We start from the raw sequence: 22,752 nt of genomic DNA, 5'->3' as shown, positions 1-22,752 counted from the left end.
GCCCACCTGAAATCTCAGAGCCAGTAAATGAATCACAGCAGGTCATGCTCATTAGATGGATTCTCTACTTCTCCAGACCACCTAGAGGTTTTCAAGTCCTTGAGATTCCCAAAGGACTTGAACTTTCTCACACATCCATCTCTAATGGGAACCATTAAGCTGACATCACCATTCTCCACACTTCAGAAAGAAGTCCTAACATCTGGAAATGGGAGCCACCTGCAAGTGCTTTGACCAGAGATTGCCATATCATTTAAGGATGAGAAACTCGAGTGCAGGTGGGATGAGAAAGGGAAAGCCTAAGATGTCAACAAGGCCAAATATTAATAAGTTGGGGCTAAAAGTGTACAGAACAGCAAAGCTCTGGTCAGAAGATATGGACTTAAATCCCACCTCGGCTGCTTTCTCATTGGAACGGTAATTAACCTCTCTGAACTCCAATAGAATACTGGGTATTAAAAGAATTGATTTTGTTCACATCCTTTGCCCAGTTGTTGATGGGGTTGTTTTTTTCTTGTAAATTTGTTTGAGTTCATTGTAGATTCTGGATATTAGCCCTTTGTCAGATGAGTAGATTGCAAAAATTTTCTCCCATTCTGTAGGTTGCCTGTTCACTCTGATGGTAGTTTCTTTTGCTGTGCAGAAGCTCTTTAGTTTAATGAGATCCCATTTGTCAATTTTGGCTTTTGTTGCCATTGCTTTTGGTGTTTTAGACATGAAGTCCTTGCCCATACCTATGTCCTGAATGGTACTGCCTAGGTTTTCTTCTAGGGTTTTTATGGTTTTAGGTCTAACATTTAAGTCTTTAATCCATCTTGAATTAATTTTTGTATAAGGTGTAAGGAAGGGATCCAGTTTCAGTTTTCTCCATATGGCTAGCCAGTTTTCCCAGCACCATTTATTAAATAGGGAATCCTTTCCCCATTTCTTGTTTTTCTCAGGTTTGTCAAAGATCAGATAGTTGTAGATATGTGGCATTATTTCTGAGGGCTCTGTTCTGTTCCACTGGTCTATATATCTGTTTTGGTACCAGTACCATGCTACTATAAAGACACATGCACATGTATGTTTATTGTGGCACTATTCACAACAGCAAAGACTTGGAACCAACCCAAATGTCCAACAATGATAGACTGGATTAAGAAAATGTGGCACATATACACCATGGAATAATATGCAGCCATAAAAAATGATGAGTTCACACGTCCTTTGTAGGGACATGCATGAAGCTGGAAACCATCATTCTCAGCAAACTATCACAAGGACAAAAAACCAAACACCACATGTTCTCACTCATAGGTGGGAATAGAACAATGAGAACACATGGACACAGGAAGGGGAACATCACACACCGGGGCCTGTTGTGGGGTGGGGGGAGGGGGGAGGGATAGCATTAGAAGATATACCTAATGTTAAATGACGAGTTAATGGGTGCAGCACACCAACATGGCACACGTATACATATGTAACTAACCTGCACGTTGTGCACATGTACCCTAAAACTTAAAGTATAATAATAAAGAATAACCGAAAAAAAAAGAGGAAAAAAAAGGCATAAAGGCATCAAAAAGATACACTTTTTCTGAGATTGCTTCTTTGCTAACTGATTTTTCCTTCCACCACGACGTCTAAGATTAAAAGAGAAATTGATACTTAAAAAAAAAAAAAAAAAAAAAGAATTGATTTTGGATGGCCGGGCACAGTGGTTCACACCTATAATCATATCACTTTTGCAGGATCACATAAGGCCAGGAGTTCGAAATCAGCCTGGCCAAAATAGTGAGACCAAGTCTCTACAAAAGAAACATTTTAAAATTAAAAAAAAATGATTTTGGAGTCAGCCAGTCTTAGGTTCAAATTCTGGTTCTGTCACATATTTACTTTGTCACTTTGAGTGAGTTGTTTTATCTCTATGAACATTCGTTTTCTTGTCTACAAAACAGACACCCTAAAATAAACACCACACACAAACACTTCATAGGGTCGTTGGCCTTCAAAGAGATAATGTGTACAATACTTGTCACAGTGCCTAGTATGAGTTAGGCACATAAAAACAGGTGTGATTTAACTACACTGTAATCAATAAAATGGGATCAACCTTCCTCCTAGTTGCTGGGAAAAATCAAACATAACCGATTTTAGCAGGGTGCCTGGTACCTACAGGTCCACAGTAACAGGAATCCTCTACTATTGTTGGTATCTTCTCTTAGACCCTATGCACTCACCTCTTTCAGCCACAGAAGTTTCGGGGCCTGCATTTCCACAGACATCACCCCCCCGACGTACTGGAGGACACTGTGCTTGGTCTCATTGATCCTGTTAACTTGACTGACTGCTCGATGGTCCAGCCACATGATGACGTTTCGATGGGAATCCCCTAGCAGAAACGAGAGGGAGATGCAGATGGACACACATTCTCTTCCTTCTAATTCAAGGGAACAATTATGGATTCCCAAGATCAAAATGCTATGTACTTTCTATAATTTTATGTATCAAGAGTGTGCAAAATGAAAGGACACCAGCAAGGCTGAGGAAAGCACTGTCCCCAGGCCTGGAATTTCCCGTCCAGTCATGTGTTCTCTGACCATGACCTTAGAATAAATGTCTACATTAAAAGCAGAAAACATCTACCAATTAATTATATTATCAAGTATTCTCTCTCAAATTCTTCCCTTCCTTTCTTATCCCTTCTGTTCTAGAAAAACTTTTCTGGGCATACATTCAGGAAAGGTGTCTATGAAATAAGACTAAGACAATACTTTCTAAGATCTGTCTCCTTTAAATATGGATAAATACTTTGACGGTATAATACATCTAATAGCTAAACAATGGCATTTAACTGCTTATATTCCCACTTTTTCTGGTCACTTTAATTAAAATTAGTTTATGTAGGTGTTTTTTTTTTTCCTCATTTGGTTGGCTTGTTTGCTGGCGTGGGAAGCTCATGGGTTTTGGAATTAGGCAGATCTAACAGGGAATGCTAGTTACAGATGAAGATACAGTTACAGATGAAGATGTATAATTCAGGAAGTTTTTAAACAAAAGATAATGCACATAAAGGATATGGCAAGTACTTCTCAGAAAGTAGGCCCTCAGGAGGAGAAAATCATAAGGAGGAGAATTTAAAACCAGCTGGAAAAGGAGCACTGCCCCTCATATCCTGCCTTACCACCCTGTAGTCCACACAGTAACTCCTTATCTCTCTCCCCAGCCTCTGTTAATTCATCCTGTACCAATGGGCAAGCCAGAAATCCTTTAACAGCCCTCTGATGCCTCTGATGGCAAAAGTTGCAGAACAGCAATTAATATACCCGAGAGATTATTAGGGCAAAGAGAAAAGAAACCCAGCAGTTACCAAACCAGGTATTATATTTTCACACATTATTTTATTTAATGGCAAAGTAACCGCAGCACTACATATCTTGCTAATAGTAAATGTTTGTAATGTGTGTTTGTCTCCCAAGCCCTGTGCTAAACATTTTACACATATCATCACATTTAATCCTCAAAACAACCCTCTGATACAGGTTTTTAACCCCTGTTTTTCAATGACAGACTCTTGAAAGTGAAGACGTACCCAATGTCTCACAGCTGGGAAATGCACAAAGTGTATTTTGGAACTAGATCTGCATAGAGAACAGATAAATCAATTCTTAAATGAATAAACTAGAGTTAGACATAGTAACATGAACAAGGACACCAGCTGAGATACTTTAAAACACAGAGTCAGCCCTCCATGTCTGTGAGTTCTGCATCTGTGGATTCAACCAACCGTGGATTGAAAATATATTTTTTTAAATGGATGGTTGCATCTGTACTGAATGTGTACAGACTTTTTTACTTGCCATTATTCCCTAAACAATATAGTATAACAAGTATTTACCTAACATTAGGTATTATAAGTAACCTAGAGATTATCTGAAGTACATGGGAAGACGTACATAGGTTATACGCAAATACGATGCCATTTTACATCAGGGACTTGAGTATCTGTGGGTTATGGTCTTAAGGAGGTCCTGGAACAAGTACCCCTCAGATACAGAGGAAGGATTGTATACTGTTTGTTGTTGTGGGTATACACATATGTAGTAAAAGCACAAAAACAATGTGTTTAAGAACAGCAACTACAGCAGAATGGTTACCTGCAGGAGGTGAAAAGCTGAAGTTACAAATATCTTTTTTTAAAATAAAAGGAGCTGAGGCAAATATGGCAAAATTTCATGTTTATCCTCAGTGGTAGGCGAATAGGAAGATGTTGCTTTCTTTACCCTTCCACATCTTTGAAAAGAATGTTTAAAATTAAAACCAAAAAAAAAAACAACAAAAAAAGCCAATGTAAGAAGATACCTAAATAAGGTCATGGGCATAACAAGGCAGGGGCTCAGTTGCCTAACTGGAAAGATATCACCTCCCACAAAAGCTCCACAAACCATTATACTAATACTTTGAAAATAATACAGAGTACATGGGACCTTCCACAGGAATGTCAAAGAATTTTTTGTAAACAGAATTGTTCCTCTATCTAACAGAAGTGCTCAAAGCTCTAGTTCTCAAACCTAGTTGCACATTAGCGTCGCCTTGATAACTTTTAAAAATACTGATGTCCAGCTCCTATTCCACAACCATCAATGAATCAGGATGTGGGTGTATGTGTGGGTGGGTGAGTGTTGAAGGGGACAATATCAGTATTGTTTCTTAAGTACTGTACAGAACAAATCTACAGCTACTTTAAGGTAAAAATACCTGTTGCTAAACTTCTGCCTATAGTAAAGACAGACCAATCAGCTACTACTGCCTCTACATAAAGATGCTCTCAAAATGCAGTCAGAACAATACAATGAAAATTGTACAGAATCATTACTGTATTAGAATTAATAATTTTCGTTTTAGATAAAAACTGAGAAGTTAATTTTTTTCAGCTCTTATGGAAAACTGAAAGTTCATTTAATCTTTTATTGAGCATCTACTACATGCCAAGCACAGTGTTGGATGCTAGGATATCAAGAAGAATGTGCCACAGTTCTGCCCTTAAGCAACATATGTCTGCAGGAGAAAGAGTCTATACTGTGTGTTGACTGCCAGAACAAGAGTACCAGACATGGGAATGTGGAGGAGGAGCAAAGAGCAGGCTCTAGTTAGCTGAGCCTGGAGCTGCACAGAAAGCTTTCAAAAGGCAGGAAAGTGTTTATTTAATTCTTCAAATGACTAGCCAATGGCTAGGCAGGTGAGGAAAGAGTGAGAAAGAGGTTCTATACAATAAGGCAGCATGGGAAACAGAACACAGACCCACAAAAATGTTGTCGTTTAAGAGAATTGGAGGTAAAGTTACATTTGAGCTACCTCACTTTACCTAAGGGTAGATTATTCATCCATATATTCACTTAATTAATACCTTGCTAAAATACATGTTTATGTTCACAGAATGTGTTGCAGGCATACTTGAGGGGAAAAAATATTATGAATCAGCAAAAAAATCTAAACATTAGGTATCTGTTGCACAGAGGAGACTAGGTCATAACTCCCTCTCCCAGCCCCAATTATCACCCTTTGTTCCTCTCCCTCCCAAGAGCTCCTATGGCTGAGATGACACAATCAGGGTAAGGCTCTGAGTTTGGTCAGTGGCAGGGGTAGGAAGCATTCAGCAACTGTGCTGCTGTCCAGCCCAGGGGTTGTTCTGATCTTTAAGGAAGAAGAGTCAAACAAGGAAAGGCAAATGAGACTATTTTATCATAGACTAATGCTGAATTTTCTTAAACTATTGTACTTAATTTATTCGTTTATAATTTTTTGGTTAACATCTAAAGACGGCAATACTTTTGCTGGTCTTATGGGTTTGGTTTTAGGTTATCTGCATGATTAGGGTTATCTGGAATCTTCCTGACCCCACTCTCTGCTCCTCACAATTACTCCCATTAGCCAATCAAGAGTTGGTCGCTGCCATGCAGGTAGGAGTCTCTAAAGAACCTTCAAACCACCTTTATAATTCTAATTTCATTTTCTTGCACAGGATAATTCATTTCAGATAAAAGATCTAACCTTAATACAATCTGTTGAAAGGCAAGAAACTGATGAGGGCACCTGCAGCTGGATGCATTTGATGAATGGGTACACTTTAACCTTTTAGGTGGAATAAAGTTATTTCAACACTTATAATTAGAGTGATAACCTAGTTACCTTTTTAATAGAGGATTTGTTAACAGGAAGCCATTCTACCTACAATGAAAGAAAAATAGCATCCAAAGAGGGTACATATTTAAGCAAATTTAACAAGGAACTGTCTTCTTCCACTTCAAGTGTTCTGTTCCTAATATTTTAATTCTCCGTTAATCTGTCCCCAGTGATTCTCTACATACTAGACTTACTGAGAAAACTTTTTTAAAAAGTTGACACCCTAGCTCCACCTCAAGTCAAGTGAATACAAATCCTGAGGGTAGGGCTCATGAATTGGCAATTTTTAAAAAGATCTCCAGTTGATACTAATGCACAGCCAGAATAAAAATAAATAAGTAAACATGTATTTTAGCAGATCAGATGATACAAAATCCTTGAAACAGGACTCTTAGTATCTAAAGTTCCACCCAAAATCAGGCTCTCTAACATGGCTCTTGTGCTTTATGGAACCAAGTTCCCTCTAACTCTGCCCCCAACACCACCCCACTCGTGCCAATTGCTCTCCAGGCTTTTAACTTCTGGGACGGTGATTTCTAGCCTCCACACTCTGCCTCTAAATCTCACTATCAACAGTAAGAGACATCTGATCTATGGCATCCCAAACAATCACCTGACCTTTACTTAAATAAAGCCCATAAAAGATATACTGACAGCCTCCCAAAACGGCCAGGTCTGTGGCTGGCCACATCTTGTAATTAGTGAATGCTTGCTGCTGCAGAGCTGAGGTTTGCTCTACCCAGGTTTGGTCTCTGCTTTCTGAAATGGCTCAGAACAAGGCTGCCCTGTCCTGGGCCAGAACAGTGCCAACTGAGCCAATGAACAGCCACCAAGAAAAAGAACCGTCCTGATTTATCTTTGAAGCCCCAGCATTTGCTAAGACAGGGCTTGGAACACAGGAGGTGTTAATAAATGTCGCAAGAAGAGGGAAAAAAGTGTGTGTGTCTGTGCAGAAAATGGTCATCATTACCACTGTGCTCTAATCATTCATCTATTTGCATCCATTTTCAGCACATAGTGATTATGATTATTTATAGTGATCACTTATAGTGAAAAGGGATGCAAATAGATGATCATTTATAGTCCTTATAATTATAATAATCACTATTTCATACATTAGGTCCACAGTAGTGACCGGAATATTCTCTTAACTTAAAAAATTCATCATCTGATGGAAGAAACTTTTCTGAGCATTTTAAGTATCAGTCTCTCACTAAATTCTCACAGCAAAGCTACTGATTCATTCAAATTCTTTCAGAGAAGAAAACTGAGAAACACAGAGTTAAGTGGCTTGCCCAAGGTGTCACAGCTCAGCAACAGCAGAGCTACAATCAGAGTCCCCGCCTAACTCTAATTCCACTGTGTATCAATGTACCCTACTACCTCATAGCCAACAGTTAAGAAAGATGCTGCTGCAACAGTGTGCAGAATCAAGGGTTCTCTAACAGAATCTAGCCCCAAATATGTTTGCAATGGCTATCTTGGCAACAGCTGACTGACAATGCCTAGAGCTGGCCCTTCCCTTCAGATGGAGCATGCAATTTCCAGTGCAATGCAGCCTCCACTGCTCCCTAATGTCATCTGCTCATTACAAGGTTAAATATCAGTTGAAATTTATCTTCACACAGGTGCAGTGGTTTTTCTCAAACCTGGCCTATTACTCATTTACATTACCCATCTGACTAATGTATTAATTATTACATTAATATATTAATAGACTTTCGGGTTTGTAACCCCAGTACAAACGTTATTGGCTAAAATTCCCCAAAAGGGACAACCTTATCTGCTGTGAAAAATCTCTGATGGTGGACCCAAGTAGCACTTTACATTTCAAACAGCTCATTTCTGTACTCACAAGTGTCTATTAGGACAACACCATTTAATGTGAATGTCTTTTGGTCTGGCTACTGAAAATAGAGAGGCCATCTGCTTCTACCTTCTATCTGTCACATGGCCCTGTCTACCATGTTCCATTTCCTTTCAAAGGACTTGGCTCATCCACTCAGATAAGCACGGAATAGGAATATCGTATACAAAGAAACTGCAAGCACTGACACTCTCTTCTCAGAAAACATCAAAACCACCTGTGTGTTTCAAGGTTAATCACTCCTAGCTAACAATCTCATATCCTTCCTTTACCAAGCTCTGCACTGTGGCTCCTGAGTTTTAGAAAGCCTAGTCCCCCTAATCCAGCGTCAACACCACCCCACTCATACCAACTGCTCTCCAAGCTCTTGACTTCTGCAACATGATCTGTGTCACTTCACTCTACCTCTAAATTTTACTATCAGCAGCAAGAGACGCCTGCCCTCCTGTTCCACCTGGGCCCATTGGATTAATCAGCCAAGTATCCCACCACTGGGAAAAGGAAGAGACATGGTCTTACCTTCCTGGTTGACTGGTAATGGGTGAAACTGCTTATCCAAAACAACCAGAGAACACGTGGCATCAAACCCAAGTCCTCGAATTTGGTTTAAATCAATCCCTTGTACAACTTTCTGTTTTAAAAACAAATAAAAACATAAATTACAACACCAGGGTCTTTAAAGATTGAAAACAGTTACAACTAGAAGGAAGGAATGACAGAATAGAAAAAAATCTTTACAACATAAAACAGATAAAAATTTAGTATCACTATAATCCCAAAAGATCCTATAAATAAGAAAAAAAGAACCAAACTAACTGGAAATTAAGGCCAGGCATGGCAGCTCACACCTGTAATCCCAGCACTTTGGGAGGCCGAAGTGGGTAGATCACAAGGTCAGGAGTTCAAGACCAGCCTGGCCAACACAGTGAAACCCTGTCTCTACTAAAAATACGAAAATTAGCCAGGCATGGTGGTGTGTGCCTGTAATCCCAGCTACTCAGGAGGCTGAGGCAGGAGAATTGCTTGAACCTGGGAGACGGAGGTTACAGTGAGCCGAGATCACGCCATTGTACTCCAGCCTGGGCAACAAGAGCGAAACTCCATCTCAAAAAAAAATAATAATAATAATTAAAAATAATTGGAAATTAAGCAAAGGAATAAAAAGTCACCTCATAAAATAAAAAGAAATGGTCAAAGAGCATATGAGAAGATTCCCACCTCCAATTAGATAAGTACAAACAAAAAGATATCAAACTGTTTGCTTTTCATATTGGCAAAAATATAAAAGATTAATACTACAGGCTGTTATTACTTACCTGAAATGCTTGTGATCAAAAGCATTTCAGATTTCAGAATTTTTCAGATTTTGGAATATTTGTATATAACATAATGAGATATCTTGAGGATGAAACCCAAGTCTAAACACAAAATTCATATATGTTTCATATATACCTTACACACATAGCCTGAAGGTAATTTTATACAATATTTTTAATGATTTTGTGCATGAAACAAAGTTTATGTACACTGAATCATCAGAAAACAAAAATGTTACTATCTTAGACATCCATGTGTGGCGTCACAATGCCACTCAAAAAGTTTTGAATTATGGTGCATTTTAGTTTCAGAGTAGGGTTGCTTAACCTGTATATGGTAGTGGCAATATATGCAGAAGTGGACCTTCTTGGAGATTATTCTAACAATATAATTAATGACAACAAACTTTGGAGAATAATTTGACATTTATTAAAATTAAAAATGCACGTATCTTATTAGCAAAAGTAAGTAAAGTTATATATAGAAGAAGGTTAGCTTCAGCACTGCTCAGACTATATTTTAAAAGTGAAAAAACTATTTTTATTAAATAAATTATGGCATGTTTGTAAAATGAAATACTATACAGATTTTTTTTAAAAAGAGGTAGAGAGGCAACTGCTGGGTGTGGCGGTGTGAAGTCAAAAAATCCTCTTAGCAAAATAAAACTAATAAACTGGACAAAACTATCAAAAACCACCATTTTGGGGTTATGGAAATTGGCCAAAGCCATGTGAAAAATTGAGAAGCACTTTTTTTTTGAAAAATCAAATTTGTGCTTAAAACATTCCCACAAAAAATAAAAAAACTACAGGTCCAAATGCTTCACTGGGAAATTTTATCAAACATTTAAGGAAGAGATGGTACCAATGCTACACAAACTTGTCTAAAATACAGTGAAGAAGGGAACACTTTCCAACAAATATTACATAGCCAGTATTACCCTGATACCAAAGTCAAGCAAATACATAAGAAAAGGACACTACAGACTAATATTTATCATGAACATAGTAAAAATCCTTAACAAAATATTAACAAACGAAATCTTCCAGCATGTAAAACTTTCCTTTATATACCATGACTATGTGGAGTCATCCCAGGAATGCAAGAGTGGTTTAATATCCATAAATTAATTAATGGAATACGCACATTAACAGAACAAAGTACAAACACCAAATGATCATCTCAACAGATGCAGAAAAAAGAACCCCTACCCTCCAAATATAACATTCAATAAACCAGACATAGAAGAGAACTTCTACAACCTGATAAGGAGCATCTACAAAAACCTACAGCTAACATCATACTTAATGGTAACATGAATGCTTTCCCCCATCAGAAATGAAGCAAGGATGTTCACTTTTACCACTTCTATTCAACCTTATACTTGAGCTTCTAGCCATTGCAATAAAGTGAGAAAAGTAAATTAAAAGCATACAGATTAGAAAAGAAGTTAAAGTGTCTTTCTTTGCAGATGACATGATCTCATATGCAGAAAATCCTAAAGAATCTACAAGCTAAAAAAATTACTAGAACTAATAAGCAATTTTAGTAAGATGAGAGGATGCAAGACTAACATATAAATATCAACTGGATTTCTACTTAATAGCAACTAAAAGATAAAAAATAAAATTAAGAAAATAATCCCATTCACAATAGCATCAAAAAGTGAAATACTCAGTGTGATGCTCAATATTAGATATCAACTGGACTGGATTGAGGGATGCCTAGCTGGTTAGTGAAGCACTGTTTCTGGGTGTGTCTGTGAGGGTGTTTCCAGAGGAGATTGACATGTGGAGTCAGTGGACTGGGAGAGGAAGAGCCACCCTTGATGTGAGTGGGCACCATCTAATCAGTAATGGGTGTGATTAGAACAAAGCAGGTGGAACAAGGGGGATACTCAGATTGCTTACCTTCCTCCCTCTCTCCCTTTTGCAGTGAGGCACCTTTTCTCCTCCTGCCCTTAGACATCAGACTCCAGGTTCATCTTCCTTTGGACTCTAGGTCTTGCACTAGCAGCCTGCCTGGGGCTCTCAGGCCTTCACCCTCAGACTTATTCAGGACTGCATTGTCGGCTTCCCTGGTTTCAAGGCTTTTGGACTTGAACTGAGCCACACTACTGGCATTCCCTAGCTTACGGATGACCTATTGTGGAACTTCACATTTTTAATCATGTGATCCAATTCTCCCTAACAAACTTTCTTTCATATATATATATATATATATGACTATATACATATAAATATATATATATGAATATATACATATACATACATGTACATATACATATATATTTCCTACTGGCCTTGTCCCTCTGGAGAAACCTGACAAATACATTCAGGAATTAACATATCACAAGAAGTTCAAGACCTATACTCTGACAACTACCAAACATTGCTATGAAGAGCTAAAAATTGGAGAAATATGTCACACTCGTAAAATGGAAAATTCAACATTGTTCAGATGGTAATCTCTTCAAATTAACCTACAGATTCTCCACAACTCCATTAAAATCCTAGCAGGTTTTCTAACACCGCATGTTCTCACTCATAAGTGGGAGTTGAACAATGAGAACACATGGACACAGGGAGGGCAACATCACACACTGGGGCCTGTCAGGGGGTGCGGGGCAAGGGGAGGGAGAGCATTGGACAAATACCTAATGCATGTGGGGCTTAAAACCTAGATGATGGGTTGATGGGTGCAACAAACCACCATGGCACATGTATACCTATGTAACAAACCTGCACTTTCTGCACATGTATCCCAAAACTTAAAGTGAAAAAAAAAAAAAACTAGCAGGTTTTATTTATTTATTTATCTACTTATTTGTAGAAACTGACAAAATTGAATAGAAAGAACTTGGAAAATATATGCTATCTGACTTCAAAACTTACTATAAAACTAGCATTCCTAAGTTTATGTGGTATTGGTATAAGGATAAATTTATAAATCAATAGAACAGAGATATAAGAAGTAAACCCATTTATGGCAATTGGCTTTGGTAAATGTGCCTATATAATTTAATGGGGGAAAGGACAGACTATTTGACAGTGATGCTAGAACTATATGACTATATGCAAAAAAGAACTTAGACTCTTACCTCACACCATACACAAAACTTAACTCAAAACATATCACATCCCTAAATGTAAGACTAAAAATATAAAATGTGTAGAAGAAAACAGGAGAACATTGTTGCAACCTTGCATTAGATGAAGATTTTATAAAAAGCAAGCAAGACCCACAAAAGAAAAAATTTTGACTTCATCAAAATTTAAAAATCTTTTTCTTCAAAAGAAACAATTAGAAAACGAAAAGACAAGCTACAGACTGGAAGAAAATATTTGCAAACAACACATCTGATAATATACTTGCATATAAAATATATTTTAAAACTCAAATAATAAGAGGAAAAACAACCCAATGATAACATTGGCAAAAGATGTGGACACTTCTGCAAAGAAAATATACAAATGGCCAATGTACACATGAAAAAGTGCTCAAATCATTAGTCACTAAGGAAATGCAAATTAAAATCACAATAAGATACTACTGCACACTTACTAGAATATTATCACAAAGACTGACAATACCAAGTGTTAGAGAATTGTGGAGAAAGTGATGCCCTTATACATTGCTGATGGAAATGTAAAATACAGCCACATCTTACCACACAACCCGGCAACTTCAATACAAAATATTAACAAACCAAATAAAATAAAATAAAAACATACATCAACACAAAGAATTGTATGTGAATATTCATAGCAGCATTATTGATATTCCCAAGCTGAAAACCAACCAAATATCCATCATAGTTTAACCAACTGTTAAATAAAGTATTGTATATCCATATAACAGAATACTACTCAGCAAGAAAAAGGAACTACTGATATATGTAACAACATGGATGATCCTTAAAAACATTATGCTAAGTGAAAAGAGCCAGATATAAAAGAAAGCACGCTATGTGATTCTATTTATATAAAATTTCTAAAAAGAACACCTATAAAGACAGAAAGCGCCTCTGACTGGGGCTTGGGGTTGACTGCAAACAGGTGTAAGGAAACTTTTGGAGTAATAAGTGTTCTAAAACTGGAGTAGGTGATGATTGCACCACTGTATAAATTTACAAAATAACAGCATTATACATTTACAATGGCTGGATTTTATGATATATAAATCATACATCAAGCTGTTAAATACTTTTAAAACGAGTTGAGCTATGAAAGATAAAATGGAAAGACATCCATGATATATTAGTAAGGTTTTAAAAAAAAGAATATGCAACAAATTGTTAATAGTGGTTGCTCCTGAGGGTGGAACTGCAGGAGGAGGATATAGATTTTACACTTGTTTGTATAATTTTTAAAGTTGTAGAATAATAGATTTATCGATTAATTCTATTTTTTATTTTTGTTTCTATGGTTTCCTTTATAGAAAAAGCATGAGCGACCAGTTTCTATTAACTTAAAACATGACTACAACCTTTTAAATCCCATAAAAGTCAACTCAAAAATGTCCATCCTCATTTAGTGAAATTCACCTTAAAATATATAATTATTTTTTTCCTGTTTGGAAATACCAGATTTATAATTTAGAATTCCATTTCTTACTATTTAACATGTTCCTCAAACAAGAGCTTCACATAATTATGAGAAATGTCCAAAAAAGAAAAGCAGTAATTTTTTTCAAGTCATATTAATAAAGCATTGCCATATATTGAACATCTACTATGTGCCATATGTTTGACATACATATTATTTAATCCTTACAAAGCCCTCCAAAAGAAACATTTAATATTAGTTTTTCATGAAAAACAAGTGGGGGCCGGGTGCAATGGCTCACGCCTGTAATCCCAACACTTTGGGAGGCCAAGACGGGAAGATCACTTGAGGTCAGGAGTTTGAGACCAGCCTGGCCAACACGATGAAACCCCATCTCTACTAAAAAATACAAAAACTAGCCAGGTGTGGTGCCATGTGCCTGTAGTCCCAAATACTAGGGAGGCTGAGGCAGGAGAACTGCTTCAACCCAGGAGGCAAAGGTTGCAGTGACCCAAGACCATGCAACTGTACTCCAGCCTGGGCGACAGAATGAGACTCCATCTCAAAAAAAATAAAACAAAATAAAAGAAGTGGATGATTGGCGAGGGAAAGGGTGAACAGCAGGCACAGAGAGGTTAAGGAACTTGCACTTGTCACACAGCCAGTAGATTGCAGAGCCAGAATTCAAACTCAGTGTCTATTTTCTTTCCATTATACCATACTGCTCACCTCTGTCATCAGATAATTTCCTGTTGCCCAAGAGACTCATCCTGTGGAAAGGACATGTGATCTAGAGAACACTTGCTGCTGACCCATCTGTGACTGCTGGTAGTACCTTGACCCACAGTACCAAGTGAATACCCAGATGCCTTCACCACACTGATCTATCTAGACTTACAGTGTGAGGACCAAACCCATTTCCTGACAGGCAGTATGGCCTCATGACAATGAGTCACAAAGACTTGAATTCAAATCCTAGCTCTGCCACCATGGCTACGTGGCTGAAGGCAAGTTACACAATTCTAGCCATTGCAACTCCTCTCTTGCTTTGCTGGTTCATGTTTCTATAGCATTTACAGGTATGGCTATTTCTGCCTGGAATGTCCTTACAACTTGGCTTGGAAATCACTGGATAGTAGTTAAATCAGCGACTTTGGGGGCAGAAGACCTGAGTCTGAAATCTGGTTCTACTATTTCCGAGTTATATAACTTTGTGAAGTCAGATAAGCAGCTTCCTTGGCAGTACAAAACTATTACCTAAACCTGCATCTCCCAATGATATGAGAATTCAGCAAAATAAGGTGTGATGAGCTCAACATCTGGCATCAGTGCACAGTAAGTAGCAGTTTATATTAGAGCAAATTAGTTGCTTCAAATCTTTCCATGTGGGATACCAATCAATCAATCACCCAGCCCTAACTTCTACTTGCTATGTGGCCCAATTGGCTTCTGTGCCCAGAAAGTGCATGTCTGACTTGGGTAAGCCCATCTCACACAGGTCTGCAGTTAGTCAAAAGAGGACTTGGGTGAGAAAATATAGATGACTCAAACTCCATACCACAAGGCAGTTTGGGAGTAGAAACAAACACAGGATGTGGTGTCCAAAGAACTTCCTTCTGGTGCCAACTCCACCACTTCTAGGTCAGGTAATCCTGCACTAACTCCATCAACTTTCTGAGCCTCAGTTTCCTGAGTGAGAGATACCTCCCAAGTAAGAATCAAAGGCTTTGAATGGGATCAGTGGAGTCTGAAATTACTTTGAAACCAGTAAACCTTTATAGAAAATAGGATAGGAAATGCACTCAATGCCTTATTGTGTTCATGGAATGTTTTTATGTACAAAGCACAGCATGCTTGCTCTCTGTGTCACGTAAGCACATATAAAAATGACAAGCAAAAAGAGTAGGAATAGAAAAAATTGGATAGACTCAAATCTTTCTAAGAATCATGGCGGGAGTAACCTAGTAGGAGCAAGGAAAATATTTTCTTCAATGTATGTTATGAATCCCCTCAACAGACCTACAGAGTGCTCAATATTACAATCATGGCCTTCAGTCACAAAGACTCAGCGTCTCTATCTTTCAAACAGAGACCTCTCACAAGAAACTGGAAGAGTAACTGTGGCATGCATTTAAACCTGATCTAGCTAGGTAGCCACTACTATTTCCCCAGCCTTACAAGGAAATGCCTTATGATCATGCTCATCCACAGCTGAGGAACATCGCCATTCCCAACCCCTCACCCCACACCATCTAAACCATCCCAGAAAGATGACTGTCAGAGTCACACTACCCAGAAGGCCTCTGGGGCTTGACCTGGTGACCTAAGAATTCTTTTTTATATTCTTATTAATGGAAGAAGAAAGCAGCCCAGTAATCTCATTGTAACAGCTTGGAATCAAGAGAATTTCCCTAGCTAGAGAGAAAGCACATTGCTCTTCTAAAGAATTTCCAGAGAAAGAGATTTCTGCAACCTCATTTGGTAACCTGTTCCATGTCTAACAACTGTCAACTCGTAGCTATGGGGCAGCAAACAAATATTTGGGGAAGGGATTGTGTATCACTTTCTTCTTATTGTGGGAAATGGTTCAATTCTGCATGTGTTTTAAATCAGCAAGATCTGCCATATTGGGTGGGGAGATGGTGTTTCTTAGAAACCCTCCAAACTGAGAACTGGAGGGTCAGATGCATACCTGGTTTTATCCTTAGCTCTATTTAGAGCAAGGGTCAAAGCCTGGGGCTTCATAGACATAATCCAGCTTGCAGTAGAGTTCTGAGTGGCAGGTACTGTATTCTTTTAAATCTTGATTTGAATGCCTTTGTCAGCTTTGGGGGCGTGCGAGGAGTTATGCAATCACCAGTTCCCTCAGGCTCCATCACTACCTGTTGGTTACACAGTTCAATCACTCACTTAGCCATAAGTCCTTAGCGAAAATAATCAAGCCCCTTCTAGGGTCAGGCTGTGCAGAATTTTCTCTTCTAGGTATTGGAAAAACAATGGAGAGAAAAACTTTTTTTTTTAATCCTTGCTCTTTTGGAGATTACATTTTAGTAGGGATAGACAATACCCAATAAATCAAATAAATTACATAGTGTAGATATAGTATACTAGCAAGTGATTACTCAGGGGGATTAGGAATGCAAGGAGGAGGTGGTTCCTATGCAAGATGCAAGTGAAATTTGAGGATACACCTGAAAGACATGAGGAGTGGACCTCATGGAAATCTGGGGGAAGAGTGTTCCAGGCAGGGGAACAGCGAGCGCAGAGGTCCTGGGAGGGGGAACAGCAAGAAGACAAATACAGCTTGTGTTGGGGCGTGCATTACCTGGAAGGCCCTTGAAGGCAGTCAATTTTGTAAAAGCTACTCTAGTGACCAGTGAAGTAAATAAACCCAGTCCTAATCCTTTACCTACGTAGCATCCCAGCTTAGGTATGGTATTGCCATTTGATGATAAGATGATGAAATAAAGGCCAAATACTCTCATTTATATCAGTGACCCCAACATTCTGCCAAGAACTGAAACTCAAATAGCCTCTACCTCCTTCCTCTCCATTGTTGCCAAGTCCAGTTACGCCTGCCTTCCTAAAGCCTCTCAGTCTCAGCCCTCCTATTTATTCCTCTGCCAATAGTCTAATCTAGCCATTTATTATTAAAAATATTAAGCACCTATATGTGCCAGACACAGAGAACATATCCTGGTCAAGAGAGACGTGGTCCCAGTCTTCCCAAAGTTTATAGTTTAAAAAAAAAAAAATCTCAGCCTCTGAAACTCATCAGGATGTCTGCCTCCTGACATCCTTAAATTTAGTTTCTTCTCTGCCAGCCATTCTGAATCTGTTGCAAGACTGGTCAATCTCAAACTCAGGATGATTCTAGAGGAGCTCCCCATTGGTCTGAGCCAGCTGTCTCACCTACCCCTGTATCGTCAATTCTAGCCTCCCTTTCCTTCTTCCTATTAGAAACCACCTATTACAGCTAGGATTCGATCCTTGATGTTCCCATCTCAGCGCTTCTGACCATTCTATTCCTCCAGTTCCAATTGTCTTCTCTTAAGAGTTCAAGAGTCACTTTTTGCCCTACATCCTTTCTCAAGTTTTCTCCAGTGGGTAGAAGTAGGGAGGTCTCCATTTCTTTTCTTTTCTTTTTTTTTTTTTTGAGATGGAGTCTTGCTTTGTCGCCCAGGCTGGAGGGCAGTGCTGCGATCTCGGCTTATTGCAACCTCCGCCTCCCGGGTTCAAGTGATTCTCCTGCCTCAGCCTCCTCAGTAGTTGGGATTACAGGCGCACACCACCACGCCCAGCTAATTTTTGTATTTTTAGTAAAAACAAGGTTTTGCCATGTTGACCAGGCGGGTCTCAAACTCCTGACCTCATGATCTGCCCACCTGGGCCTCCCAAAGTGCTCTCAATTTCTTTTGACCCTTCATTTTTTTTACACTTCCTGGGTCTAATATAACCCAGGCTCTGGGTAAGCAAAACATAGCTCCTGCCCTCCTGAAACATAAAATCTAGTAGGGAAGACATACATTAATCCAAAAAGTGAAATATCTTATTATTTTGTTTCATTTTATGGTATTTTATTCTTGATTTATAGAATGATTTTATTATTTGATAACAAAAAATGAATGATTCACGAACCACATGGAGTTCTATGAAAGAGACGTACAAGGCACTGTGAAAACATTTAATAAGTGAAATAAGACTTAGTTGGAGGTGGTATTGGTAGAGAAAATGCTCCTTCCTTGAAGAACTAACTTTTGAATTAAGGTTTGGGGCAGCACTATCCAATGGAACTTTCTACAATAATGAAAATGTGCTATATCTGTGCTGTTCAGTATAATAGCCACCATGTGGCTATTGAGCACTTGAAATTTGGCTGGAGCAAAAGAGGAAGTGAATGTTTAATTATATTTAATTGTAATTACTATAAATTTAAATGGCATTGTGGGTTCAGCAACTATTGGATTGGATAGCTTAGGTCTAAGGATGAACAGGAGTTAGATATGCTGGTGGAAGGTAGGAAGGATATGCAGCCAGAAGAAAGAATCTGGGTAACAATTCTTACGCTAAAGGGAGCATTGCATGTTTGAGGACATGACAGAAGGAAGGTGTGGCTGGAATGCAGAGAGCCAGGAGAAGCATCATGAGATGAGCCAGGAATGCAAGTCGAGACAGGCCATGTAGGGCCCTGAAGGCCATGTTAAGGATTGAGTTCTACCCAAATACAGGCATACCTCATTTTATCGTGCTTCACTTTATTGCACTTTGCAGATATTACATTTTTTACAAATTGAACGTCTGTGGCAACCCTGCAGTAAGCAAGTCCATTGCTGCCATTTTTCCAACAGCATGTGCTCACTTCATTAGCATTTTTAGCAATAAAGTATTTTTTAATTAAGGTACCTTTTTTTTAGATACAGTGCTATTGCACACTTAATAGACTACGGTACAGCACAAACAAAACATTTATGTATGCTGGGGAATCAAAAAATTCATGTGACTTGCTTTATTGAGATATTTGCTTTGTGGCAGTGGTCTGGAACTAAAACCGCAGTTTGAGGTATGCCTCAGGCATATCTGGTATCATTGTGCTTTGCTTTACCGCATCTTGCAGATTGTGTTTTTTACAAATTGAAGGTGTGTAGCAGCTCTGCAAAGAGCAAGTCTATCAGTGTCATTTTTCCAATAGCTCATGTCACCTCATGTCTGTGTCACATTCTGGTAATTCTTAATAATATTTCAAACTTTCATTAATATTATATCTGCTATGATAATATTTGATGTTACTATTGCATTTGTTTTGGGGCACCACAAACTGCACCCATATAAGACGGGCAAACTTAATAGATAAATGTGGTGTGTGTTCTCACTGCTCCACAGACTAGCTATTCCTCATCTCTCTCCCTCTCCTTAGGGATCCCTACCCCCGAGACACAACTTTGAAATTAGGCCAATTAATAACCCTACAATGGTCTCCAAATGTTCAAGTGAAAGAAGGAGTCATAGTCTCTCACTTTAAATGTAAAGCTAGAAATGATTAAGCTTAGTCAAGTAGGCATAGGGAAAGCCAAGACTGGCAAAAAGATAGGCCTCTTGCACCAAATAGTCAAGCTGTGAATGCAAAAGAAAGTTCGTAAGGAAAACTAAAAGCGCTACTCCAGTGAACACCTGAATAAGAAAGTGAAACAGTCTTATTGCTGATATGGAGAAAATTTGAGTGGTCTAGATAGAAGATCAAACCAGCCACAACATTCTTTAAGTCAAAGCTTAATCCAGAGCACAGTCCTAACTCTTCAATTCTGTAAAGGCTGAGACAGGTGAGGAAGCTACAGAATGAAAAGTTTGAAGCTACCAGAAGTTGGTTCAGGAGGTTTAAGTAAACAAGCCATTTCCATAATATAAAAACACAAGGTGAAGCAGCAAGTGCTGATGTAGAAACTCCAGCAAGTTATACAGATGATTTGGGTAAGACAATCAATGAAGGTGTCTACACTAAACAACATATTTTTAAGGTAGGCAAAACAGCCTTATATTGGAAGAAGATACCATCTAGGACTTTCACAGCTAGAGACAAAAAGCCAATGCCTGGCCTCAAAGCTTCAAAGGACAAGCTGGCTCTCTTGTTAGGGGCAAATGCAGCTGGTGACTTAAGTTGAAGCCAATGCTCATTTACTATTCCAAAAATCCTAGGGCCCTTAAGAATTATGCTAAATCTACTCTGCCTGTGCTCTAGAAATGGAACAACAAAGCCTGGATGACAGCACATCTATTTACAGCATGGTTTACTGAATATTTTAACCCTGCTGTTGAGACTTACTGCTCAAAGAAAAGAGATTCCTTTCAAAGTGTTACTCCTCATTGACAATGCACCGAGTCACCAAAGAGTTCTGATGAAGATGTACAAGGAGATGAATGTTGTTCTCATACCTGCTAACACAACATCCATTCTGCAGCCCATGGATCAAAGAGAAATTTCAGCTTTCAAGTATTATTATTTAAGAATTACATTTTGTAAGGATATAGCTGCCATAGATAGTGATTCCTCTAATTGATCTAGATAAAGTAAATTGAAAACATTCTGGAAAGGATTTACCACTCTAGATGCCATTAAGAACATTCATGATTCATGGGAGGTCAAAATATCAACATTAACAGGAATTTGGAAGAGGTTAATTCCAACCCTCATGAATGACTTTGAGTGGCTCAAGACTTAAGTGGAGGAAGTTACTGCAGAGGTAGTGGAAATACCAAACGAACTAGAATTAGAAGTGGACCCTGAAGATGAAATTGAATTGCTGTAATCTCATGATAGAATATGAACCGATGAGGGGCTGCTTCTTATGGATGAACAAAGGAAATGATTTCTTGAGATGGAATCTACTTCTGATAAAGATGATATGAACAATGTTGAAATGACAACAAACAATTTAGAATAGTACATAAACTTAACTGATAAGGCTAAGGTCTGAAAGAACTAACTCCAGTTTTGAAAGAAGTCCTGCCATGGATAAGATGCTATCAAACAACATTGCATGCTACAGAGAAATCTTTTGTGAAAGAAAGAGTCAATCAGTGCAGCAAACCTTACTTAAAAAATTGCCTTACTTAAAAAAATTACCACAGCCACCTAACCTTCAGCAACCACCACCCTAATTAGTAAGCAGCTATCAACATCAAGGTAAAACCCTCCACCAGGAAAAAGACTACAACTCACTGCAGGCTTCGATGATCATTAACACATTTTTTGGCAATTTTTAAAAATTAAGTTATATACTTTTTTTAGACTAATGCTATTACACATTTAATAGACTGCAATATAATGTAAACATAACTTTCATATGCACTGAGAAACTCAAAAATTCATGTGAGCTTTGTTGCAATATTCACCTCATTATGGTGTTCTGGAACTGAATTTATCATTATGCCTGTAGTAGAGTGATAGATGTTGAAGGGCTGTAGCAAAAGAGTGACATGATCAGTTAGCACTAGAGGAAAAAAAAAACACTTCAAATGCAAGAATAGAGAAAAGAAAAATGAATATCAAGACATCAGTTAGGTTCTTGGAATAATATTCCATGCAAAATATAAAGGTATATGGTGCTAGAGATAGAGAGAATGCATAGGTTTGACCCATCTGAGTTCTGCCTTATCACATACCACCTGGGTGACCTTAGGAAAATCACTTAACTCTCTGGCCCTCAGTTTTTCAAATGTAAATGGGAATAACAACTTCTTCCCTACTTCACCCTGCAATAGCAATCAAATGAAAATGAAGATGCACTGTAAACTATAATGGTTCTATGAATATAAGGTTAACATTATTGCTCAACCCGACATGTGGCTACTCTTTCTTCTGTCCCCCTCCCCACAACCACTACTCATATAGATAGCACCAAGACAGAACAAAATGGTACTTTACTGGCTTCATATGTGTTGTTTATTTTTCTCATACAATTAAGCTGTTTCATCTTTAAAAGCAGCAGACTTCTTGTATACGTCTCCTCTATATGCTCCAATGCTTAGCAAAGAGCATAGCACATAGTTAAGTGCTCAATAAATGTTTGCAGACTAAATGAAAGAATGATACTCAACAAACACCTGTTGGCTAAATGATTCCTCCAGCTTATCTTCTCCTTCTTCCTAAGAGAAGTTTAGTATGAATCATGCACTAATTTGAAATGTTCTCACCTTTTTGGAATGATTAAGATTTGTGGCTCCATAAAGGAACCTTTAAAATCGTGGACTGCATATAACCTCTATGACTTGTGAGTTTCCATAAAACCTCTTAGGTGTGCGGCTTACCAGCCCAATAAAACCTGCCAAATTTAGGGAATGTAGGGAGGAAGACAGAGA

At 38.3% G+C, this 22,752-nt stretch overlaps 1 protein-coding gene across 52 annotated transcripts in view; it reads right to left on the bottom strand.

Annotated features, from left to right (window-relative positions):
* Positions 1-22,752, bottom strand: part of FGGY (FGGY carbohydrate kinase domain containing) — a 466,353-nt gene that overhangs the window by 414,107 nt on the left and 29,494 nt on the right. For 28 of the 52 annotated variants that reach the window (XR_007061929.1, NR_103473.2, XR_007061930.1 and 25 more), the window contains 2 exons: positions 8,555-8,666; positions 2,226-2,377 (listed from right to left, as the gene is read on the bottom strand). The exons of 6 other annotated variants lie outside the window; for them this stretch is intronic. Coding sequence is in view for 43 of the 46 variants with exons in the window: in XM_011541731.2 (XP_011540033.1) it covers positions 2,226-2,377; positions 8,555-8,666 (264 nt within the window). In the remaining 3 variants the exon portion in view is untranslated. Of the gene's footprint in view, positions 1-2,225; positions 2,378-3,577; positions 3,627-8,554; positions 8,667-16,591; positions 16,782-21,786; positions 22,737-22,752 lie in introns of those variants that run through there. 18 more of the 52 variants (XM_017001671.2, NM_001350797.2, XM_017001669.3 and 15 more) reach the window with 8 other exon arrangements.

Source organism: Homo sapiens, chromosome 1 (assembly GCF_000001405.40).
Source record: "Homo sapiens chromosome 1, GRCh38.p14 Primary Assembly".
Classification (NCBI taxonomy): Eukaryota; Metazoa; Chordata; class Mammalia; order Primates; family Hominidae; genus Homo; species Homo sapiens.
Note: the sequence above shows the minus strand (reverse complement) of the source record. Positions and strands in the feature narration are given on the sequence as shown.